The 25,707-nt window shown below is 51.3% G+C and overlaps 1 protein-coding gene across 7 annotated transcripts in view; it reads right to left on the reverse strand.

Moving 5' to 3' along the window:
- NRXN2 (neurexin 2) overlaps nt 1-25,707 on the reverse strand; it is a 117,024-nt gene that overhangs the window by 54,546 nt on the left and 36,771 nt on the right. For 4 of the 7 annotated variants that reach the window (NM_138732.3, NM_001376266.1, NM_001376267.1 and 1 more), the window contains 5 exons: nt 24,927-25,228; nt 16,295-16,318; nt 7,724-7,885; nt 6,531-6,969; nt 34-420 (listed from right to left, as the gene is read on the reverse strand). In NM_138732.3, coding sequence (NP_620060.1) covers nt 34-420; nt 6,531-6,969; nt 7,724-7,885; nt 16,295-16,318; nt 24,927-25,228 — 1,314 coding nt within the window. Of the gene's footprint in view, nt 1-33; nt 421-6,530; nt 6,970-7,723; nt 7,886-16,273; nt 16,319-24,926; nt 25,229-25,707 lie in introns of all 7 variants that reach the window. The other 3 variants (NM_001376262.1, NM_015080.4, NM_001376265.1) reach the window with 2 other exon arrangements.

The following is a 25,707-nucleotide window of genomic DNA, read 5'->3' on the forward strand; positions in this document are numbered from 1 at the left end:
AGCAGGGACACCTAGGATGAAGACCAGCCTCACCTCTCTCACAGACCCGCCCAAGAAAGCCGGTCCCGATGCAGTCACAGATGAAGCGGTTCCAGCCTTCTCGACAGACGCCCCCATTGCGACAGGGGGCAGATGCACACTGCTTCAGCGTCTCCCGGGAGCAAAAGGGGGCAACGCCCACAGCCCCCTGAGCCTCAGCCAGGCCCCGGAGGTCTCGGCTACGCCCATCTATGAAGAGGTCCCGCACACAGCCCACGTAGCCTGCCCGGAGTGCTGCTGTCCACACCTCTGGGGGCAGGGGCAGGTCCACCCGGCCCCCCTCAGGGAGACCGCCCAGGTACAGCTCACTCTCCAGGTCCAGAATCTCGCTGTCTCCAGTGGCCAAGAACGGCGTGCTGCGACTATTCACTGAGATGGAGCCTGGGAATCAAGGGAAGGCAGGATGGAGAAAAGCCACAGGCCAGAAAGGGACATCCTGACTCTGCCAAGAAGGCCCCCCACCTTGTGTGGGCCCCTCCACCTTGTGCCCTGCAGCAGGCTCAGGAGGACGAGCAGCAGTCCTGGGCTGGAAGCTCGGCCTCACTCACTGCAAAAACTGCTTGACAAAGGCCCCCAGGCTCAGAGGCTTCTGTGACGCAGCCCCAGCCCAGCTGCAGAATGCTGTGGGCCTCTGTCCATACCCCTCCTCCCCACCTCAGCAAGTCCTCAGAGGATAGGCAGGAAGTGGGCATGCCGAAATCTTGAGCTCGGAAAGGGTTGGATCATTCACTGGGTCATTCCTGCCAGCCAGTTCCTTAGACTGGGAACCGGAAGCAGAGAACCTCAAGGAACAGAAGGGGCTGAAAGATCTTTAATCCAAAGGAGTTTTTTCCCCCCACAAACATTTATTGAGCTTTTATGACTAGATGCCAGGCACCTAGCACTTTAAATATATTATATCACTTAAGTCTCATAATAACTCTACGAAATCAGTCCTTTATGATCCCATTTTGAAATGGTAGACGAGGCTTGCAGAGACTGGGGAACAGTGCCAAAGCGCCACAGTGGGGAAGGAACACAGCCAAAGTATGGTCCCAGCAGCAAGAACTCAGAGCCTGCACTCTCCACCCCTCAGCCAAGAGCCCACTCTGCGGCCAGCAAGGTGCACAAGCAGATTGGCTCCAGGGCCTGCGGGGCAGGACAGCAGTGAGGAGAAAGGAGGTAGGCACAGAATTTTTAGGTAGAAGAGTTCTTCAGAAGTAGAGGGTGCTTGGCCGGGCATGGTGGTTCACGCCTGTAATCCCAGCACTTTGGGAGGCCGAGGCGGATGGATCACTTGAGGTCAGGAGTTCAAGACCAGTCTGGCCAACATGGTGAAACTCCATCTCTACTAAAAAAAAAAAAAAAAAATTAGCCGGGTGTGTTGGCACAAACCTGTAGTCCCAGCTACTCGGGAGACTAAGGCAGGAGAATCACTTGAACCCGGGAGGCAGAGGCTGCAGTGAGCCAAGATCATGCCACTGCACTCCAGCCTGGGAGACACAGCGAGACTCCATCTCAAAAAAGAAGAAGAGAAGAAGGGAGAAGAAGGAGAAGAAGAAAAGGAAGAGGAGGAGGAGGAGGAAGGAGGAGGAGGTGATTATCTTAGAAAAAAGACTTGGGATCTGGTAGGAGTTCCATAGCCTTTACTGAGACCTTAAGCTGCAGAAACCTATACCTTAGAAATTTTATTCTACTTGTATTTTTAAATTCCTTCCTCTGTCCTTTTTCAAGTTTGGAAGAACTGTTTAAAAGGGGTCGGGGCCGGGCACAGTGGCCCACGCCTGTAATCCCAGCACTTTGGGAGGCCGAGGCGGGTGGATCACAAGGTCAGGAGATCGAGACCATCCTGGCTAACACGGTGAAACCCTGTCTCTACTAACAAAGACAAAAAATTAGCTGGGCGTGGTGGCGGGCGCCTGTAGTCCCAGATACTCAGGAGGCTAAGGCAGGAGAATGGTGTGAACCCGGGAGGCAGAGCTTGCAGTGAGCCAAGATCGTGCCACTGCACTCCAGTCTGGGCGACAGAGCGAGATTCTGTCTCAAAAAAAAAAATAAATAAATAAATAAAAGGGGTCAGGGTGGGAGTTGAGTTCAATCTCTCTCCTCACGCAAGACCCCATTGCAGACATCCTAGTTAGAAAAAAAAAAGACTCTGCCTAACTTCATGGGGTTAAAGAGAGGTTAAGGAGGGTTTGGGTCTGCATGAGGCCTGAATTTGGCAGGGAGCTTTGGGAGGAGAATCAATGTGAGCACAGGGTGGGAACCCAAGAGGGAAGAACTGGGACCTCCTCTACAGACACATCCCCTCATTCAGGACGTGTTCCTCTCTGCTCAAAACCTCACCTGAGGCCGGGCGCAATGGCTCACACGTGTAATCCCAGCACTTTGGGAGGCTGAGGCAGGAGGATCGCCTGAGGTCAGGAGTTTGAGACCAGCCTGGCCAACATGGTGAAACCCCATCTCTACTAAAAATACAAAAATTAGCCGGGCATGGTGGGCATCTGCAATCCCAGCTACTCAAGAGGCTGAGGCAAAAGAATCGCTTAAACCTGGGAGGCAGAGGTTGCAGTGAGCTGAGATCATGCCACTACACTCCAGCCTGGCAGCCTGGGCGACAAGAGCAAAACTCTGACTCAAAAAAAAAAAAAAAACCTCACCTGAACCAGAGCTGTGCCCTCTTTTAGTAACATGGTCCCTAGCTTTTCTCTCCATACAAGGTGTCAGATGACCCATGGTCCTGACTCTAAACCCACTTCCCAGGGCTGGGGGCCCACTCCCCTAACAGGCCACCAAACATGGCCTGCCTGATTACCCACACCTCTATTTATAGCCAGATTCCCCCATGCCTGCTCTGCCCACCCACTGCAGGACCTCCTGGGCTTTACACGACTCAACCAGACTCTCTACAAATGAACCAAATGTTGGAGAAGGAAGAGAGAGAGAAGGAAAGAGATGGGGAAGGGGTGTATAATGGAGGGTCAACAAGAGGAAGCCATAGTGAGTACAGGCCTCTACACCAAGATCACTCAACACATGGAAAAGAACAACCCAAGCATCCACCAACAGATAGATGGATAAATGCAACGTGTATATCCAGGCAATGGAATATTATTCAGCCCTAAAAAGGAAGGACATCCTGACACATGCTACAACATGAACGAACCTAGAAGACATTATGCAAAATGAAATAAAGCCAGATACAAAGGGACAAATATTATATGATTCCACTTAACGGAGGTACCGAGAGTAGCCAGATTCTTACACAGAAAGTAGAATGGTGAGTGCCAAGGGCTAAGAGGAGAGGGAATAGGGAGTTAGTGTTTAATGGGCCAGAGTTTCATTTTGGGAAGATGAGAAAAGTTCTGGAGATAAACAATAGTTACCAGTGATATTTACACAACAATATAAGTGTACTTAACATCACTGAACTGCATACTTAAAAATGGTTATGATGGGCTGGGCATGGTGGCTCACGCCTGTAATCCCAGCACTTTGGGAGGCCAAGGCAAATGGATCACTTGAGGTCAGGAGTTCAAGACCAGCCTGATCAACATGGTGAAACCCTGTCTCTAGTTAAAAAAAAAAAAAATTAGCTGGGCATGGTGGCACATGCCTATAATCCCAGAACTTGGAAGGCTGAGGCAGGAAAATCACTTGAACCCAGGAGGCAGAGGTTGCAGTGAGCCGAGATTGCGCCACTGCGCTCCAGCCTAGGCAACGAGAGCGAAACTCCGTGTCAAAAAAAAAAAAAAAAAGGTTACTATGGTAAATTTTTTTTGCTGTTTTATTTTTCATTTCTTTCTCTGTCCCATGTGATCTGCAGGAAAGGGTAGTAAATTTTATTATGTATCATTTACCACAATTGCAAAAACAAAAATAGAAAAAAAAATGGAAAAGATCTAAGAGAGTTTTCTCGGAATAGCTGCCCCAAGTCTGTGTTTGTGTGCACATAGGAAATGGGTCATCAGAGGCCGGGCGCCGTGGCTCACGCCTGTAATCCCATCACTTTGGGAGGCCGAGGCGGGTGAATCACAAGGTCAGGAGTTCGAGACCAGCCTGGTCAACACAGTGAAACCCCGTCTCCACTAAAAATACAAAAATTAGCCAGGTGTGGTGGCATGCCCCTATAATCCCAGCTACTCGGGAGGCTGAGGCAGGAGAATCGCTTGAACCCAGGAGGCGGAGGTTGCAGTGAGCTGAGATCACGCCACTGCACTCCAGCCTGGGCGACAGAGAGAGACTTCGTCTCAAAAAAAAAAAGGCCGGGCGCGGTGGCTCACGCCTGTAATCCCAACACTTTGGGAGGCCAAGGCGGGCGGATCATGAGGTCAAGAGTTCGAGACCATTCTGGCCAACATGGTAAACCCCCATCTCTACTAAAAGTACAAAACTTAGCTGGGCGTGGTGGCACTCGCCTGTAGTCCCAGCTACTCGGGAGGCTGAGGCAGGAGAATTGCTTGAACCCGGGAGGCAAAGGTTGCAGTGAGCCGAGATCGCGCCACTGCACTCCAGCCTGGCGACAGAGCAAGACTCCATCTCAAAAAAAAAAAAAGAAAGAAAGAAATGGGCCGTCAGAAATGTCCAGAATTGGTCAAGACAGGAATCCAAAGACTGGCCACACCTGGTCCAGACTCTGGCTCCAGAGATCGGTGTTGAGCTAACAGGAGCACTTCCTGAAAGCACAGAGAAGTGGAAGCCCTGCAGTGCCCTGCAAGGCTTGGGCAGACGTCCAACCTAGAGTGTTACTGACCACCTGGTAGAAACCCTGTGGGGCAGAGGGCTCTGGGAAGAATTCCTGGTGCTGTCCTGAGACACACCCCGGGGATGAAACCATTTAATGTAAAGCCCGGGGGAGGCAACACTTCGAGGATGGAAGCTAAAGAAATAGCAAGCCCATTAGAAACTGTCACTCTCCCAGAGCCACAGGGGCCCCTCCTTCCTGCATGGGGAGGAGCGGTCACTCCACCCAAACTCACAGGCCCAGCTCAGTGACAGGCGGAGGAGCACAAAAATTTAGCTGACGTTGATAAGTGCTTAAATTGGATAATGTGTCAGTTCTCATTTATATCAATTTCCCTTTCTTGGATAATTCTCTCATGTTCAACAAGATGGAGAAGAGTAAAGGAGAGAGAATTAGCAGACAGAAAACAAGAAGAGAATGCAAAAGACTGAAATGAAGGGTAAAGAAGAGAGTGGCTAGAAGCAACAGAAGATTCAAGAACAGGCATCTGTCTGACCCCAGAACCCTCTGCCCTGACACTTTATTGTTCTAGAGCCCTCACTGCTAGGTAGGGGTGTGGGGCTGTTTACTGTCTTTTTCACTCCATGGTCTCCCACCCCACACCAGAACAGGGGTTCTGTGACAGCCAAGATCGTCTCTTTAGTTTCCCTGCTGTCCATATCTACAGAACCTTGGACACCATCTGGCACACAGTGGGTGCTCAGTAACTGCTGAGTGAGTTAATTTTTTTTTTTTTTTTTTTGACAGTCTTCCTCTGTCGCCCAGGCTGGAGTGCAATGGCAGGATCTCAGCTCACTGCAACCTCTGCCTCCTGGGTTCAAGCGATTCTCCTGCCTCAGCCTCCCAAGTAGCTGGGACTACAGGAGTGCACCACCATGCCCAGCTAATTTTTGTATTTTTAGTAGAGACTGGGTTTCACCATGTTGGCCAGTCTGGTCTCAAACTCCTGACCTCAAATGATCCACCCACTTCGGCCTCCCAAAGTGCTGGAATTACAGGCGTGAGCCACAGCGCCCGGCCTAGTGAGTTAATTTTTTTTTAAGTTGAATGGCTCTAGACAGAAGGGAGGCATGGCTGGGAAGATATATTCTTTTTTCTCTGAGACAGAGTCTCGCTCTGTCGCTCAAGCTGGAGTGAAGTGGCACAATCTAGGCTCACTGCAAGCTCCGCCTCCCAGGTTCACGCCATTCTCCTGCCTCAGCCTTCCAAGTAGCTGGGACTACAGGTGCCCGCCACCACACCCAGCTAATTTTTTGTATTTTTAGTAGAGATGGGGTTTCGCCGTGTTAGCCAGGATGGTCTCGATCTCCTGACCTCCTGATCTGCCCACCTCCGCCTCCCAAAGTGCTGGGATTACAGGCATGAGGCATCGCACCCGGCCGGAAGATATATTCTTAAAGGTGAATGGGGTATCTACTCTATGTTGGCCACTGTGCTAATGCTTCCACAGATGTGCTCTTATTTTCTCCTCTCGATGGCCCTTGTGGGGTTATTCCTTCTACAGATAAGGAAACAGAGTCTCACATGCAGCAAGTAGGGGAGCTGAGGTGTAATCCAGGTCTGACTGATGCCAAATGCTGTGCTCTTTCTGCCAATGTCCGATGACAGAAAGGACAATTGGGAAGACGTGAGGGGGGTGGAGGAGAAGCGGCAGGGAAGAATATAGGAAATGGTGTAGAAGAGACCCGCTGAAGAGAGACGGAGAGGATGTCAGGGCAGATGGAAAGGGGTGGCCCATGGAAGGGGAAGGGTCCAGAGGCCTCCTGACCTTTTCGCCCATCCCTCTGGAAGTCCACGTGACACCACTCGCCATCATTGACCTTGCGGCTGGATGCCCGCAGCTTGATGCCCCCAGATCCCATGTCCAGCAGAAGATAGAGGTGGCCGTCCAATAGCTCCATGGCAAAGTAGTCGGCCCGCTGAGCAGAGCTGTGGCTGCCAGCTCCACCCCCAGCCCGCCGGCCCTGGCTGAAGAGCAGCAGCCCATTGGGCTCGGTGGTGCGGAAGTCTAGGGAGATGGAGCCAGTGCGCTTAGCGCTCCAGCGGGGCAGCGCCACAAAGGCCTCGGGACTCTCAAAGGTCACAGGGTCCAGGGCAGCCACATCCTCACAGCGGAATGACAAGTCCCCCTGCAGCTTCATCTTGGGGTCCCCTTCCTTTGCCAGGCGGGATAGTTCCAATTTGAAGTCATTGTTCTTATAGACCACCTGCAGGGAGGGGTGGGGTCAGGGATAAAGAATCCGAAAGCAGCTTAGGGCCTGGCCACTCCCACCCAGCAGCGAGCACCAGGGGACCCAGCCACCCACCCCTGTAGCCCCTGCTCAGTTCCACCAGACCACCCGCTTAGGCCTCTGTTCTACAGCTTCAGACACAGAGGCTGTGAACAAGCACCTCCCTTGCCCGTCCTCTGTCCTGTCTTCTGGCCCAGCAGGAGCATGGTGGCTTGCCTGTGGGTTCTCAGTGCCCACTAAATTGCAGTTCATAATAATGACAAGGCCACTGACGTGTGGTAGCTGTTTTCCACTCAATGAAGTATGTTCACTTACACTCTCATGTGCCCCTCACAACCTTATGAAGTAGGCACTGACTACCCATCCACAGAGGAGGAAACTCAGCATCAGACAGTCAAGTGACTTGACCACAGTCACAGAACCAATGAGTGGAAGAGTTGGGACTCAAGCAAGGTCTTTAGTCTTCATACCCAGCATTCTTTCCTCTGTACCACAGCTGCCTTTGAGGGTCCTCTATGAGGATAGGGGTTTCCAAGGCTCAAGGAAATCAAAGGGGAGAAGCCTCTTGATGGAGTCAGTGGGCCTTAGGTTTTAAAGAGGGGGTGTCTCCCACCATGGACTTGGAAGGAACAGATGACCCAGACAACTAGCCAGGTCAGACTAAGTCACGCTGAAGACAGGAGACAAAGGGCTCCTGAACAGCCTGCAGCCCCTCCCTAGCCCTACTCACGTCCTTGAGGCAGCCCATGAAGTTGTTGCTGACGGGCGAGCCCGGCAGGTCAGCTGTGTTGGGGCTGCCCCCAATGTAGAAGAAGTCATCAGAGCCCAGCATGGTGTAATCCTCCTGCGTGTAGCCTGTGGTGGTCAGGATCCCGTCCACCGAGATGGTCACCTGTCCAGCCCAGGAGGGAGGGAGAAAGACAGGAGACAACCAACATCAAATCCCTAGGAAGAGCTACGGCTAGGCAAAGGAGGGGCCAGAGGGCAGCAGGGGAGGGGGACCCCCATTTTTATGTCTGCTTGTCTTGGAGGAGGAACAGTGGGGGAAGAGAGGAAATGAGGAAAAGGAGGCAGCACAAGATTTGATGGTTTCAGGGTGGGCTAAGACCTGCCCTCTGGCCCCCAACTCAGCAGGCAGGAGCCTGAAGGGTACTTGGAGAGCTCCCCATGAGGTCCCCCAAGAAGTAGTTCCTGGAGGGCACTCTGAACAGGAATGGGGGCTCCAGGACGGATCCCCCATTCTGGGGCACAGGATGGGTGCAAATGGCATCCTCACTTTTCTTCTCCTGAAGGTACTCTCTGGACACACACGTAACTCCAGAACTTCTTTCAAAAGTGTGCCAGAGAATGGTGTTCCCCAGACCTTGGTGGCTTAGACTCACCTGCAGCCCTCTCTGCTGGGTGCTGGAAAGTCTTTCAGTCTGGACCCAGTAGGGAGATGGAAGATAGCAGTGTGAGGAGCAGGAACTCAAATATTCCTGGGAAGTCTTGAAACTTTCTGGGGTTGCCTATTGGGGTTGATTTCCACCCCTGCAGCCCAATCTCCAGGTTTGCACTTCTAGCCCTTTCCTGAGTCTGTCTCTTCACTCCTCAGGTCTCCTTATATTCAGGTCACTCTCTTGCCTCCAAAGGAGAGGGGAGCCCTTTAGCTACATCAACCCACTCTTCCTTCTTCCTGTCTAATTGCCTTGTCTACTGACACCACTAGAGTTACTCCAGGGAGTCAGGGCCAGCTTAGGGAACAGACGGGGACAGGGCTAACTTAATGAATACCTTGCCCCTGGGCTGAAAGTTCAGTAAGAAAGCAGGATGAGCAGGAATGGGGGAGTACTTGGTATTCCAGGAGGCAGGGGGGCTCAGCGGTGGCCTGGAGAATGCAGAAGTAATCTTAGATGGGGCGGGGCATGACAAGGACAGGAAACTCTCCAACTCTCCCAGTCTCCCCAGGCAAATGCCCACCTTCTCCAAAAAATCTAACTCTACAAGCAGCCCACAAGGTTCAAGACACCCAGAAAGGTTGTGGGAGAAGGGCCAAGGGCTATGAGACCACGAGCCCCTACTCTAGGAAGGCAGTGGTTTGGAAGGGTCAGCTGGGAAAGAAGGCAGAGCTCTGCAGGGTCAACAGGAAGCTGGCTCAGGGTTAGCCCAACACTGTGCTTCTGCAGGCCACAGCTCACCCCATTTCTCTTTCGGGAACAGTCTAGAGATTGGGGCCTTCCAGTCACATCCTATGCCCTCCTCACCCACACCAGTCTATATGCACATGCCACCAGCCATCTTCCAGCGACTGGTCTCCAGGGGTCCATGGTCTCGGTGGGTGAGGTGGAGGAACTCCAAAGGGACATGAGCAGAACTGGGGTAAGGGAGCTTCCTGCCCTCCCAGGACCCCAAGTCCCCCTTGTGCTTGGCTGGAGCCTCGCAGTGAATAGGGTAGAGCTAAGCCCCACTCTCCACCTCCTGGGAACCATCAAACCTTGTGCTGGGGTAACTAGGTTCAAGAGCAGAAGGTAAGGGGGTGTCTTTGTGGAAAGGGGCAGTCTGAAAGCTTTTGAGTCTTATTTGAGGGGAGGGCTGGTCATTATCGTTTATTTCTTCTTCCCTCCACCCCACCCTAAGGCTGGGAAGTAGGGGTCTGGGTAGAAGAGGGAAGGGTCAAAGTATTAGTCACAAAAACATGCAAACGAGATTAGACCTGGCAGAGAAGGGCTGGAGAAAGGGAAGAAGGAACTGGGATGAAAGGTCAGGGATAAGACAGGGAGTGGGTAATAGGCTGAATGGGCCTCCCTGGGGCAAATTCAGCTCCATCCAGCCCTCCACCTCCACTCTGCCTGATGCTGCACTGAGGGACCAGGAACTGGGCTGCTGATTACTTCCTGTGCCTAAGTCTGGTCACCCCAACTGGTCAGCTCCTGAGGGGCAGGCACCAGCCTGACATGTCCCTGTAACCCCACTAATCTGAACATAATCCAGGGGATACAGCACACAGTCATTAAAGATCGCCTTATGACCCAGGGCCACACTGCCTGCATCCCCATCTATGAACCTAATACCTAAGGAGCCTGTGACTTTGGTGACAGAAACTCAAGTGCACTCCTGCTTCAGCGCAGGGAAAGGGCTCTTCTGGTCCCAAAGCTCCCCAGGAAGAGAATCTCCTCTTTTGGCCTTCAGCCCACCTGAGCCCCTCAGCTGTGTCCTCCCTCACTGGCCTCAGAAGCCAGGGCACCAGCCACTGGCCATCTCCCTCACCCTATGGGCTCTCTCTATCCCACTCCCTTTGCCAAAGTCACCCTCCCTTTGCACTCTCAGACTTAGAAGAGGTGACAGTGTGGGGTAGAGAAGAGGAAACACCCTCCTCAGTTTCCCTCCTGACTGGGCACAATCTCACCTTACCCCCTTGGGCTTTTTGCAGATCACTCCCATGTGCTCCCTACCCGGAAAGGGCTGCCTTAATCACCCTCTTATGACCCAGGGGTGGAGTAGCAGGAGGAAGGACAACATAAGGAAGTGCCCTGAGGAAAGGGATCAGCCAGAGGTGGGGAGTAGAGGGAGATAGTGGGGACGGGTTCTGGGTGGAAAGGAAGCCAAGGGTAGAGGGAATGGAGGAAGGTCTCTGGGGAAGGCAAGGAGGGAGATGACTTAGATTAGTAAAACCCGACTGTTCCCTCAGACGAATCAAAGTCCAGACACAAAAATGGCAGGTTCGTTAGTAAAAGCAGGAAACAGGGGAATAATTCCCCCGGTCCCCCTCCACCCCAGGGGTTCATGATGCCCCTGCCCCCCAACCTCCCCCCCACGCATCTTCTGGAAGGGGTGGGGCCGGTGGGGGAGGAGGGAAGGGAGGGGGCCGTGCGACACAGAACAGCCACTGCAGCTGGACACATGCAGGTTAGAGGAGCAGAGTGAGGGCTAGACCCAGCAGGACAGGCCAGAGAAAGGCAGCCAGGTAAGAAGGCGTGCGGGGCAGGGGCACTGGGAGGAGCAGAGATGGAGGCAACAGAGCTGTGGGGTGCAGGTAGGGAGAGCTTCCTTCCGATGATGGGGGGAAAGAGAGAGGAGTGACCACTAGGACAGAGACACTTATGGGTTGAAAAATAAAGAGAAAAGACATTTGACTCTACCTTCCTCAACAGCAGGCGACCCAACACTCATTCCACCACCCATTCGCCACCGATCACCAACCCCGAGACACACCTGCGTACATACCACATCCTACCCAGGGCAGTGGGACCTTCCAGCTCTCTCCTTCCAAACAGCATCACTGAGACACAGCAGAGTGTCTGCACCCAACCCATGCCAACCCACTCAACACAGACAAGCAGGCCGAGTGGGTACTGAGCTGGCCAAGGGGAATGAGCCAGAGCTTCTGCCCTGGAAGAGTTGTGTCCAGCCAGAGAAGGGAGAGGGTGCAGAGGCAGCAGGAGCCCACTGCCCAGCCCCCACTGTACTCCCCAGGAGCAGAGAGGCTGGCTGGAGGTGGACACAAGGGGCAGCCTGTGACTTGGGTGGGCTCTCAGCCCTCCCTGCTGACCCCACCTCTCTTTCTGCTCCATGCACCTCCCCTGTGGCAGGCTGTGCAGGATATGAAACTAAGTCCTGGCCATAAATAACTCCACATTGGTGGGCACTCCATGTCCACATGCCTTAGGAAGAAAGGCTGAGGAAGAGGGGAAGTATCCTTCTGCCATCTTCTGGAGCCTTTATCAGTTGCCTGTGATGATCACAGGGTCACTAACCTCCTTGGGAGGGGGACTTAATCTGGGGAGAACAAGACGGAGGGCGGGTATTTTTAACTTGTGGGCAAGCTGGCTGAGCTTGGGAGATTCCAAGCCCCTTGATATTGTGTGCAAAACTGCCTCCGTGGGTTTTTTTCCTGTGAGAGTCCATTGCTGTCATCAAATTCTCAAAGGTATCCATGAGCCAAAGGTGGTTAAGAGCAACTAGTCTAGGGGAAAGGTCCTGGCATCCCCTTAGGATTGAGTGGGTGGAAATAAGGGACAAAGACAAAGAGGAAGAAAGGGTCTCCAGGCTGAGTAAGGTACTGCAAGTCCTGCTAAGGGTTTGGGTTAGCTACCTGTTCAATGAGAGGGCAGAAGCTAACCAGAGACTCGGGTTGGAAAGACACACCATGAAGATGGACTGAACCAGCAGGCACAGCCCTGTCATGAATCCTGAGGTCTGGATTTGATAGTTTGGGAATAGAGAGGAAAGAGGTCAGAAATCCTGGGCTCTCATTCAGCCTTTATCCTTTTCCAGAACAATCCCATTTTACCTCTGACTCTCATCTGTGACAGGAGTTTAACAACTGTCGCTCCCATTTCTTCCAGGCTTACTCTGAGCACCAAATGAGAAAACTGAAGTGAAACTCCTCGATATCTGGCTATCTGACCCTAGGCAAGGTGCTTTCTCTGGGCTTCAGCTTTCCCCATCTGTTAACTGGAAACAATCTCTGCCTGCTACTTGCAGTCCAGGCATTCAAGTTTAAATGATATTCAAAAGGGGAAAGCTATTCAAAGAGTCCCAGTGTGTGTACAAAGAACTATCATTATTTGTACAAGCAAACTCCATCAGCCTGATCACACCTAATCCGAACTTCTCAACCTTCTCAAGGTTGGCCTTTTTGCTTTATATCCACCCTCTCCCCCAAGAAGAAGTGCTCAAACAACATGAAAATAGTCCATATAAATGAGTTAGTAAAAATAAATTGGAAACTAACCAAAACCTGTCTGGGGGATGCCTTGGGAATCAGAACACATTGAACCCTGTTACAAGGCCTCTGACTCTGGTCTTGGCTGAAAGAGCTGATTCCTAGTACAGATTTATGAAGGTCTATGAGGCCACCAAAAGGCAACCAGGTCTGTTTATCAGTCAGTATTGCTCATGCAGGAAAGTGCAGACTTTAGAGACTCAGAATTTAGCAGATACTTTCCTTTCCAGGACTGAAACAAGACAGTATTGTTTACTTTTTTTTGTTTTGTTTGTGTGTGTGTGTGTTTGTTTTAGAGATAGGGTGTTTGTTTGTTTGTTTGTTTTAGAGATGGTGCCTTGCTGGGGCACGATGGCTCATGCCTGTAATCCTAACACTTTGGGAAGCCAAGGTGGGTGGAATGCCTGAGCTCAGCAGTTCGAGACCAGCCTGGCAACACGGTGAAACCCTGTCTCTACTAAAATACAAAAAATTAGCCAGGAGTGGTGGCATGCACCTGTAGTCTAAGCTACTCAGGAGGCTGAGGCATAAGAATTGCTTTAACCCTGGAGGCAGAGGTTGCAGTGAGCCGAGATCGCGCCACTTCACTCCAGCCTAGGCAACACAGCAAGACTCTGTCTCCAAAAAAAAAAAAAAAAAGCAGGCGGTGGGGAGGTCTTGCCATGTCACCCAGGCTAGTCTTGAACTCCTGGGCTCATGCACTCTTCCCATCTCAGCCTTGAGTAGCTGAAATTACTGGTGCATAGCTGGTTGTTGGCTTCTTCCTTTTTTTGTTTGTTTTGTTTTGTTTGGAGATGGAGTTTCACTCTTGTTGCCCAGGCTGGAGTGCAGAGGCGTAATCTCAGCTCACTGCAACCTCCGCTTCCCAGGTTCAAGCAATCCTCCTGCCTTAGCCTCCCGAGTAGCTGGGATTACAGATGGCCACCACCACACCCAGCTATTTTTTTGTATTTTTAGTAGAGACAGGTTTTCACCATGTTGGCCAGGCTGGCCTTGAACTCCTGGACTCAGGTGATCCACCCACTTCAGCCTCCCAAAGTGCTGGGATTACAGGCATGAGCCCAGCAGGTTGTTTGCTTCTTAACCAGCTTAACCACCTCAGCCTCAAGTAGCTGGGATTACAGGTGCCTAGCTGGTTGTTGCTTCTTAACCAATTTAATCAAGTCATTCATTTTTCTTCCTCTTCTCCAGCCCAATTCCTGAAGCATTCTAGGGTTTCATACAGTTATTTTGGGACTGATTCTTAAGAAGAGATGGTAATAGGATCTCCAGTGGGCCAGAGATGCTGTGTTCTCCAGGGTTTGCTAGGGAAGAGAATCATTTCTTTACAAAACATCCCTGCCCTGGAAACACTGAGATAACCAGTTAACATTTTATAAAGCTTAGTAACATTACAATTTCCTTTACAGAGTACAAATGTTTTCACTTCTATTACTCTACCTGATCTTCACACTGACCCCATGTAGTAGGCAATGCAGGTATACTACCACTATTAGCCCATTTGGTAGATAAGGGAACTGAGCTTTAGTAGACTCAGCCCATGTGGTCAATTTTTAACCAAATTGAGGCTAGATGGAAAGTCTGCTGGGTCCTAATTCTAGGATGGTATTCCCCAGAGGCTTGGGGTGTACCACATGGCTTGATCTTGCCTCCCTTCTGTCCCTAAAGTCACAGGTTGGTTATCTAGTGAAGCACCGTAAAGAAAGTTCCAATTGGCCAGCTCCTGACAGGTACTCAATGGCTTGGCCTGAGCCGGGCAGGTAGCAGCTAACTCCTAGAAGCAGCAGCTGGAGGAACAAGAAACCTGGCACTGTATGCCCCATTGGAACACCAAGACCACTGGGAGTGGCCACCTGAGGTCTTAAATTGGGGAGGGCTGGAATGGCTTTGGCCATGGGCACTAGTCTATATGGGTGCAGGAAAACATGGATCTGCAAAAGTATCAGGAAAAGCCAGATGTAGCCTCAGAGGTAGAGCCTCCTAGGGAAGTGGGAGAGACACTCAGATTGGGAGCCCCAACTGTCACGCTTCCCTCCTCACCAGCCAGCCATACAAACCTGGGAGGCTGGGCAGGCCAGGCAGCTGCCCCACGGGAGCAGACACGTCCATCTGCAGGGTCCCCAGCCTGGTGTTCAGTCACTCTGCATTATTAATAGGCGATGACTAACCGGCTGCTGCTGCAGAGCCAGGACTGGGCAGGCACGAGGGAATCCCAGGGGATCACACGCAGCAGGGCCTGCGCACACACACTCTGAGGCAAGGCAAGGAGCAAAGGGCTAGCCCCAGCTCCTTCCCTGTTCCTGACTGCCATGGCACTGCAACTGAAGGGCCAGTCTCCACAGTCCACCTCCACACAGAGTCCTCACCAGGCTCAAAAACCCACATAGTCACGCAGCCCCCAGCTCACACCAGCTCACACGTGGAGAGTCACCAGCAGAGCCTCGCACACACAGTACAGCTTCCCACTAACACCCCGAAATGTCACGCCAACATTTACACACAGTCACACCCACACACCAACACACACCAGCTGCATTTACACAGACACCCACACCAACACTCACCAGGACTGAGCCTAACCCAAACAGAGGAGCTCGGTGACAAGGACAACCAATGCTGCCCCTTCCCACCCCTGCAGGCCTCCTCCTCTCGCTCCCCTCAACAGGGAAGGAAACCAGCCCCTGTCAGAGGCCATGCGGGGCAGGCAGCGGGCAGAGAGGGCAGGGGGTGACGGGAAGGAAGACAGTGTGAAACACAGTGTTAGTCAGAGCAGCGGAGCAGTTGGGGGAACTGGACGCTATCCCTGGTCAGGGGAAAAGACCATTCATGCCATGCAAAATGTGGGGGACATGGAACCAGGAACCCTCAAGGCTGAGAAGTGAGGGAGGGGATGGCACCTTTCCCAGAGCAGCCAGCATGGGGCAGCCCCCAAACTGCTATGAACTGATGATTTGCATGAGGTCTGGACTGATCTCAGGCAGCTCCGCATCTCCCAAGGCCATGCCCTCCACCCCTGGGAACCCACCCCACTGGCTGCCACTGGAGGTCTCACCCCCAGACCCCTCCTCAAACTTGAGCGGCCCTGTCCAGGGAGCTGACAGTGAGCAGAGCATAGCATGTCATGGGATGGTGTTTTCCATGGATTTTCAGGAGACCAAGAAACTAAATCAAAGAGAAAAAACAAGGGAGGGGAGGGAAAAGAACAAAATAAAGCAATAGAAATAAGCAGCCTGGCATCGGGGCTGGTCTAACCAGAGCCGATGAACATGGGGCCTGCCCCCAGGTCTCTCTGGCCAGGAATCTGAATTCAGGAGTTAGGGATTACAGCAGGGACAAGCCAAATTCCTCGATTTCCATTTGTCTTTTGTATTTCAGTTTGGACCAAAAAAGAAAGAAAAGGGAAAGAGGGAAACTAAAAGAGAAGCAAAATCTAAAGATTGTCCAGGACGCAAAAAACAATTGGAAGAGCAAAACAACCAAAAAACCAAACAGGGAGAGGAAACAAAAGAGGGAGAATCGAACAGTTAAAAAAACCCACGGCAAACCAAACGGTAAGACAATTAGAGTGATATCTACCAGATAATGCAGTTTGTTTACCATAGCGTGTCCAATCCCTGCGTGCTTCACCGGAGATATGGGGGGATGGGGAGGAGGGGGGTGTCAAAAAACAACAACAAACACAACAACAAAAGAACAGAATGAAAAGAAAAGAAAAATAAAATGACCAACTGTGAAACTCAAGGAACGAGGAAAAAATATATATCCATATATATTTGGTTGTTTGTTCCAACCCTCCCACCTTAGGTTCAGCAAAAGTATTTGTTTAAAGAAAATTAAATTATAATGGGGGGAGGAGAAATAAAACACACAGAAAAATTAAGTCCTTTCTTCTCCCCATCCCTACCCCGCCCCTCCTCTGGATTCCTCTTCCCCACCATCCCCTCCCCGAAGAAGAGCCGTCTGCAGAGAAGGGGAACAGTTAGAGACCTTGGTTAGTAGAGAAGAAAACAACAAAAGAACTGGACCAAGAAACCAAAGACTTAAAGATGGCTGACATTCCGCAGATGAGACAGAAAGGTTAGTTCGGTTTTTCACTCATACCTTGCCCCACCTGTCCCTGCCCATCCCTTGGTCCCCTGGGTTATAAGCGTGTTAGTAACACACACAGAGTCGGCAACGGGGTTTTCCAACAGAGGGTGAGAGAGGGAAGGCAGGGGATTAAGAAGCAGACCCAATTATGCAGTATTAGTAAGTCCTATCAGCTGAAATGTTAGAGAGTGGAGGGGAAGGAAGGGAGGGAACAAGGGCTGTGAGGAGGGATGGGCTATTGGTTGGAGCCATGGACTTATGGGTTTGTTGGCTAACTGATCAACCAGATGGCTTTCCAGAGAACTGGCTAAAGAGCAAGTTGGTGCTGGCCAACTGGCTGACCAGTGGCCATGCCGGGTTAATGGATTAACCAGTTGGTGATGGGCCAGCTGGCTATCAGGCTGGGAGAAGAGTGGGCATAACCCCTAGAGAATCAAAGGACTGGCAAGAATGAGAGCCAATTTCATTTGGAGGCAAAAGGAAGGGGTTCCCAAGGAGCATAGGAGGGGTCATGGATGCCTGCTTTTCCTGGGGATGGAGAACACGCAAATCGATCCAGGGAGTCACTGAGGAGAGGGGCAGCTCCTCTGTTTTTGTTTTTGTTTTTGTTTTCTTCTCATCCTTAAGAAAGGAAGAGAGAGTGAGTCGCCACCAGAACAGGGAAAAGGAAATGTTGCCCTCCACGGACTGGCAGATGGCTCACACATTATATCAAATTATTCCAGACCCTCTTCCCTCTCCTCCCCATCTCCCACCCATAGCTGACTCCTCCCACGTGTCCACCTTGAATTTTCAGAACTTTCCCCAAAAGTTCTCCAGGCTCTTCAATCACCCCAACCCCATTCTCTCACTCTCTGGGCTGCTGTCCCTCCCAGAATCAAGTGCCCACCACCACCACCCCTACCAGTCTCTAGAATTGGTAAGGCCATCCCAGCAGCACAGCCTCCTTTCATGTACACCCATAAACCCCTGAGTCTCCACTTCCCACAGCCAGCACCAGAAATTCACTCCCCTACACCCATAAAAAGGAACCTCTAAAATCCCTGACTTTTCCCTAAGCTATAAGCCCAATCTTTCTACTCCAATCTCTAGTGTCCCCACTCTCATGTGGTTCTAAGTTCATTTTCTCTTCTCATTGCCACAGACAGCAGCAACAACCACCTTCCAAATTACCCCTGTCTTTGGGGAGGACATGTCAGAGGCACTGAGGCAGCTTTAATTAAGAGTATTAGAGATGGAGGGACATTATTGCTTGATGCCTGTTAAATACTAAACTGCACCCCCGAGAGTGTGATTGTGAGAAGGAGAGGTATTCTAGGGACAGATCCATTAGTTAGAGAGCTGTTATAACCAGTGGGCACAGGACTAATTCAGTAAGATGATGAATAAGGGCCTCATATAATTAAAAATAACAGAATTCAATATTTAGCAGCCGGAAGAAGTGCTGAATAACCAATATTAATTATTAGTGATGCAGAAGCAGTTTACATAGCAAGAGAAGAGTCTAATTGCAGGTGCAGTGATGGGAGTCAGGGGATAGCGTGTGGTAAGAGGATTAGTACTGGTGGCTGGTAGGACTGTCATGAAATGAAGAGGCCAACTAGTCAGAACAAGGAACAATTAGCTTCAGGCCAGCTAAACAACCAGGCCCAGAACGGTAAGTGTTGTCTGGTATCACTGCACTAGTCGAACAAGGCAGGAAGAAAAAGGCATTGGAGGTAAAAATCCAATTACTACTCTTTGAGTTAGAACTGGTTATGGAGAATAAAATAAGATTCAAAAGTTTTCAACTTTATGAACAAGATTCCATTTTTAAGAAGTAGAACAGCAAATTAAGAATCAGGATTGAGGGCCAGGCGTGGTGGGTCACACCTGTAATCCCAGCACTTTGGGAGGCCGAGGCAGGCGGATCATGAGGTCAGGAGATTGAGACCATCCTGGCTAACACGGTGAAACCCCATCTCTACTAAAAATACAAAAAATTAGCCAGGCGTGGTGGCGGGCGCCCGTAGTCCCAGCTACTTGGGAGGCTGAGGCAGGAGAATGGCGTGAACCCAGGAGGCGGAGCTTGCAGTGAGCCAAGATCACACCACTGCACTCCAGCCTGGGTGACAGAGCGAGACTCTGTCTCAAAAAAAAAAAGAATCAGGATTGAGAAGAAACAGATGTGAGTTCTAACCCTTGGGCCTTCCACTAATTTGACAAGAGATCCAGGCTACCTCTTAAAAATAGCAGGGTTGGAGTAGATGAGATGGGGCCCCTCTAGACCTAGGGATTAAGGATCCAGACCCAGTCCAATGGAGATCATGTTTATGGGGGCAATTGTTGTGAAATACTAGAATGCAGCTTCCACTGGAACCCATTCCTGGTGGCCTCGGACACAGCACAGGGAAGGGGTACACAGCAGCCCAGGCCTTCCCTATGGCCAGGATCTGGAGAACTGAGGCTTCAGACTAACAGATGAGCAACAAAGGCTTTATCCCACTCATAGAAAGAGCTAGAGAGCTCCTGGAGCCTGGGAGCACAAGCATGACAACACATGATGAATGAGAAGGGCATCAGAGTCACAGAGGGGAGAAGTCACACATCATATCATGTGGTCATTTTTACCAAGTCTTTCTGACTCAAACACCAACTGTAGGAATTCACCAGGCAGAAAGGAGAGCCTCGGGACAAAACTATACCCCATCTCCACCTTGAAATATGAGTGTAGCTCCAGCCCTGCTCAAGAAAGCCAAGAGAGGGAATATTTACACAAATCATAAAAATCTGGGGTGAAGACAATCTGTGGACCTTGAGTAAGAGAAGCTCAGGACAAAGAGAAGAGGAACCCACTCCACTTGCACATAAGAGGGACCCATTTTTCAGACATACAAGCAGAACATTGAAATGGCTTCAAAATTTGAGAACATCCAAGAACGACAGAAGCACAGGACAAACCCCAGCCTCCTTTGCATTTTGCACCAATGACAACAACCAGGCCCTCACTTGGAGGCAGAGGAACAGAGTGGTTTCAAAATCAGACTTTCAACTCTACCACTTCCTAACTGGATAACCTTGAGCAAGTTCTTTAACCTTCTGCATCTTGTTTTTCTCATCAGTAAAATGGGAATAATATCTCCACCTCACAGAGTTGTCATAAAAATTAGGTGAGATAGTAAAGAGAAATGAGATCCTTGAGGCCAGGGGCTAGTGGGGAGAGACGTTACAGTGCAATCTGAGAAACGCTGTGACAGAAAGATAAAGTCCTGAGGAAATTTAGAGGAAGGACCAGGAGAGGTGTTCTTCTGGTCTTGTAAAGTGAATTAGGCTCAGGCACAGTGGCTCACGCCTGTAATCCCAGCACTTTGGGAGGCTGAGGTAGGTGGATCACTTGAGGTCAACAGTTCAAGACCAGCCTGGCCAACATGGTGAAACCCCGTCTCTACTAAAAATACAAAAATTAGCCGGGCATGGTGGCAGGAACCTGTAATCCCAGCTACTCAGGAGGCTGAGGCAGGAGAATCACTTGAACCTGGGAGGCAGAGATTGCAGTGAGCTGAGACTGCGCCACTGCACTCCAACCTGAGAGACAAAGTGAGACTCTATCTCCAAAAAAAAAAAAAAAAAGTAAAAAAAAAAAAAGTGAATTGTGAATTGGAGGGTTTTTTTTCCAAGAGGACAAGAAGTAGTTCAGTGCTCACATGAAGTAGTTAGATCTGCTACTTTTGGACATGGGTCCTCGTGTCCAAAACCTTACCAGCTGCCTTCAGGAAAGAGACCAAATGGATCAGAAAAAAACTACTAGGAAAACAACTACAAACACTCAATAGTTGCAGGTATTAAGCAACCAATTTGCTTACCACCTAGAAGTACAGATAAGGAATGAATACAAATATTGACAACACAGGCAGAATGTGATGAGACGGCTCAAATACACGTTTCCAAGGGCTCAAAGAACATAGCAAAGAAGGAAGGCTGGCTGGAGGAAGGGATCAAGGAAGGCTTTTTGAAGAAGGTGGCATTTAAGCTGGGCCTGAAGGATTGAAAAAAATACAACTAATTCGTGCCAGGCACTGTGTTGAGTGTTTTAAGGCAATACCCCAGTTAGTCATCAAAAGACTCATTCTCACTTTACTGATGAGGAGCTGAAGCTCACAGAGGTTGTATAACTTGCCTAAAAGCACTCAAACTATTGGCAGAGCTGGGATTTGAACCTGGTCTTTCTGACTCAAACCTCAGATCTAGGATATCACCAGAAAGAAAGGAGGGCAACTAAGTGGTATCTGTAGGAGAACTGTGAAAACAAAGGGAAAAACTAAGAAAATTGGATGAGTATGGAGAACAGCACAGCAGACCCTGAGACAGGGTGTACACCATGCCAGAGAGGGAGAGAGGCCTGGGCAGGAAGGAGAGGAAAGGAATCTAATTGCCTGATGGACTCCACCCCTGGGGACTCCATCCTTAGGGGAATGCGTTCCTAAGGAATGCATCCCAAGACTCCCAGGGGTCTCCCCATCCTTAATGACTCCATCCTTGGGGACTGCATGCTTGGGAACTCCATCTTTGGGGGGCTACACTCTTGCTGGACTCCATCCTTGAGGACTGCATCCTTGGTGGACTCCAACCTTGGGGACTCCATTCTTGGGGATTCCATCTTTGGGTATTCCATCCTTGGGGACTCCATCCTTGGCAGATTCCATCCTTGAGGACTGCATCTTTAGAGGACTCTGCCCCTGGGGCAGTCCCCCATTATTGGGGACTCCATCTCTGGGGACTCCATCATTGGGGGACTCCATTCTTGGGGACTCCATCCTTGGCAGACTCTATTCTTGGGGACTGCATCTTTAGGGGACTCCATCCTTGGCAGACTCTATTCTTGGGGACTGCATCTTTAGGGGACTCCATCCTTGGGGACTCCATCCCTAGGAGAATGCATCCTTAGGAGACTCCATCCTTGGGGACTCCATCCTCGGGGACCACATCTTTGAGGGACTCCATCCTTGCGGACCGCATCTTTGAGGGACTCCATCCTTGAGGACTGCATCCTTGGGGACTCCATTTTTGGGACCTGGAGGAGCTCCTGAAAGCCTCTGCACCAATGAGAGCAGTTATCCAAGCTGGGCAGGAGGAAGCACCATGTGATATTTCGATAGCCAGCTTGTCTTCCAAATTTGGTGCTGGCTAATGAGGAAATGGGTTTGCACACTGCTTGCATGGTGGTGGGAGGCAGTTGGGAAGCATACTGGGTATGGGAGGAGAGTGGGCCCAGGATTTAAAATAGACCTCGGGGAATCCTCAGAGGTAATAATTCCTGCCAAGATCCTCCAAGAGACACCTCTGGTCACAGTGACCTCAAGGGCTGGATTTGAAAGGAGAGAGAGGAGAGAAGGAGACACTGTCTCATCAGGTGCCCCTGGTCCTAACTGCTATGTTCTGAGAGCCTCTAGATGATTCCAGGGATAATTACCAAGTCCAAGGGAAAAAGGGAAATTCTGCCTCCTTCCAGTCTTTGGAGCTGGCCTTTGACCCACTCCCATGGCTGCAGAAGCAAAGGGAATGGAGACCCCTCAGTGCTGGTTCTCAGAGAGGTCCTCCCCAGAAGGCCATCTCCCTGGCCATTCTAATCAAATGAGAAAAATAACCTGGAAGCCACAGTGTTCTCAGATCCTGGCACTCTATCCTGTAAAGCTGAAGACAGATGTCATTTCTCCCTGTCCTTGCTCCTGGCCCACAAAACCTGGGGAAGACAGAATATTGATTCAAACCACTCCACCCATCATCACCCTTTTTATCATGTAAGTGTTGTTCCAATCCCAGGATGTCACCCAGACACTACAGAAACTTGATTGAGGCCAGGTGTGGTGGCTAACACCTGTAATCCCAGCATTTTGGGAGGCCAAGGCAGGAGGATCATTTGAGGTCAGGAGTTCAAGACCAGCCTGGCCAATATGGTGAAACCCCATCTCTACTAAAAATACAGAAATTAGCTGGGTGTGGTAGCGGGCACCTGTAATCCCAGCTACGCGGGAGGCTGAGGTAGGAGAATCACTATAACCTGGGAGACAGAGGTTGGAGTGAGCCGAGATCACGCCGCTGCACTCCAGCTTGGGCAACAGAGTGAGACTCCATCTCAAAAAAAAAAAAAAAAAGAAAAGAAAAGAAATTCCCCCAGAATCCCTTTTTAAAGAGAGCACTCAACCAAAGTCTTTAAGCAGACACCCTCTGTGGACCTCAGGACCTGCTTTAGGGTCAATATGACCTGCCTCTCTGCTCTGAGACTTCTGGTAGAACAATCCAGGGGAAGAAGTTTCCATCAGTTACCAGCTTGGACTCTCGACTCCGGGAACCCCAGGAAGAAGCAGCCGAGGGTCACTGTCTACACTCAGCACTGCTGAGGCCGAGTGTCTCCTCCTCTGTGTGGCTTTCCCACCTCCCCTAGCCACAGACCTCTCCCTCGTCTTGGGTATCACTTGAGTCCTAGGGTGTTTAAGGTTTCTGCTGCTCACTTGGCACTGGCATGGCTTTGCTCTATTCACTTTTAACAGACTCATCCTGTCTCCTCAAGAGCTGAAGTCCTGGAAGGGCAGGGACCATGTCTTTTTTTCCCCCTCTGTTCCCAGTATGGATGTGCCATGTATTTTTTGGTCATATGATGCATGGATAGGAACTCTGAACTTGGAGCATCTTGCCGAAGTCGGTACCAGGTGACAGCGCTGGTCCTAGAGAGAGCAAAGTGAGCAGGAAGCACTAGAGGCAACTCCTCTATACCCCCCAATAAAATGTGTGTGGCATCTGAAACTGTCACAAATGCACATGACACACTCAGATGTGCTCGGTAATGACAACGCGGGACAGCCCTCTGATTGGGTAAAGGGATGATTTGACAAGAAGAGGAGCCCCGCATTAAGGAGTGACTCCACCAAGCACGTCACTCTGTGAAACGCAGGGGTCCCTAAGAATAGGCACATTAGTAGGAGCCCGGCTGCAACAGGTAGTGGCAGGCCTGAGGAAAAGCAGCAGGATTAGTCACTGCGTTCTCCTGGCAAGGAGGAGTGGCATTAATGAGAGGTATCCCCACTAGATCATCATCGATGGTGTGAAATGAGAACAGGTAGGAAGAGTGGGAGGCCAGCCAAGATCCTGAGCCTGCTGACGAGGCTTTCAGTGGGAGGAAGGGGAGGAGAAGGAGGATGACAGGAGGAGAGACAAGGAAAGTTAGCCACCACACCGCTAGAACCAGGAAGTTCAGAGAAGATAACTAGGAAGAGACTGGTCAGAGACAGCTTCACCTGCACTAGCCATCCTGGGCCTTGGGAAAGGTGAAGAGGACCACTTCTAAGAGGACCTGTCCAGTGGGAGCATCTGGGAACAGGAGCTCCTGTCTGCAGGAGCCAATGCAGGAAGGACTCTGAGCACCTGCGTGGGCTTGCCCAGGAGCCAAGGGGAGGCAGAAAGCAAGCCATGGATGCTGGGAGGGCCTGGCTCCTTTGAAAGAAAGAGAAGGAAAAGAAGGGCATGTCCTGCCCAGAGGAGATGAAGGGCCAAGCCCCCTCTCTGCTCCTGCTCTCTGTCACCTACCTACTATGCCACCACCTCACTGGCTCCATCTCTGCCTCTGCCCTAAAAAAGCCTCGGCTGGGGGCAGAACACATCCTGCCCGCACACATTAACTCAGGCTTGCCTTCGTGCCTTGCTGCCCTAGTGTTGGGACACCCTCATCTGCTCCACCAGGCCAAAGCCTGCCCACTCCACAGGAACCCCTCCCCACCCCCTGGCACCCAGGAGCACCCATTCAGGCACTGGCTCACTCCTCCCATCTCCTGAATTGCCCTCCTGCTAAATCACCTGATTTCTTAGCCCCATCCCTCGAGAGCCCAGCTGCTCCCAACAATCTGAGCCCAGTCCTTCCCCTGCCCTCAGGTTCCTGCCCAGGGACAGTTCTGGAGCCTCCTCAGCTCAGCTCCCTGGTCTCTGAAGCCTGCCAGCCACTGCAGCCTTATGTCGGGACCCTCACAGCCCCAACTCCTGTTCTTCTCCAGAACCACACCTCACTGCCCAGCCCTGATCCCTCCACCACAAGCTCCCGGCAGCCCCCTCTCCCAACCCCCATTCTACCCCAGGTATAGCTAATCCCTGGCCTTCTTCTCACTCCTCCTACCTGGCGCAGGTTTCGGGTGACCCGGACGTCGTGCCAGGCGTTGTCGTTGAACTTGCCATTGACGGGTTCCACAAGGGCCTCGAAGGCACCTGAGCCTAGGTTGATGACCAGCCAGACAGCCCCAGACTTGAGGGACAGGTTGACGTAGTCGGCCGACTTGCCTGTATGCAGCATCAGGCCGTTGCGTTGCAGGGTGCGGAAGGCCAGTGTGATCTCATCAGTGCTGCTCTGGATGGGGTTGTGTGACAGGTCGTAGCAGAAGAACTCATTGCCTTTGAAGGTCGCCACAAACTCCTCCTTGCCTGGATGCCGTGGTGTGGGGAAACGGGAGAAGGCTGAATGGGGCAGGGTACACCAGTGCTTCCCTCTCCCCTCCAGCAACGCAGGCACTGGTCCTGGGCACCAGGAGCCCAGAGGTCCCAACCTGTAGCTTTAGGCCCCTTTCCCTCCCTCGGCCTGTCAACCATCCTCTCAGGACCCTGCCGTCTCTGCTGTCAAAAGTCAATGTCCCCTGTGTCCATTTCCAAACCAGGAGGCTGCTAAGTGGCTCCCACACTGACAGCTGACAATTACTCTGCCACAGGACCCAGCAGAGCGGAGGGTGCTCACTGTCTCCTCCCCACCAACCTTCCCATCGGCCACTCCCCTTAACAAAGGGACATAGAAGGGAAATAAGAGGCTCTGCCTTACTTCTCCCTGGGTGCTCCTCCCGTATGGCAGGGTCCTCAAGGGTCTCCTACGCACAGCCCACCTCCCTTCCTGCCCCTCCTCCAGCGATGGC

Source organism: Homo sapiens, chromosome 11, assembly GCF_000001405.40.
Source record: "Homo sapiens chromosome 11, GRCh38.p14 Primary Assembly".
Classification (NCBI taxonomy): domain Eukaryota; kingdom Metazoa; phylum Chordata; class Mammalia; order Primates; family Hominidae; genus Homo; species Homo sapiens.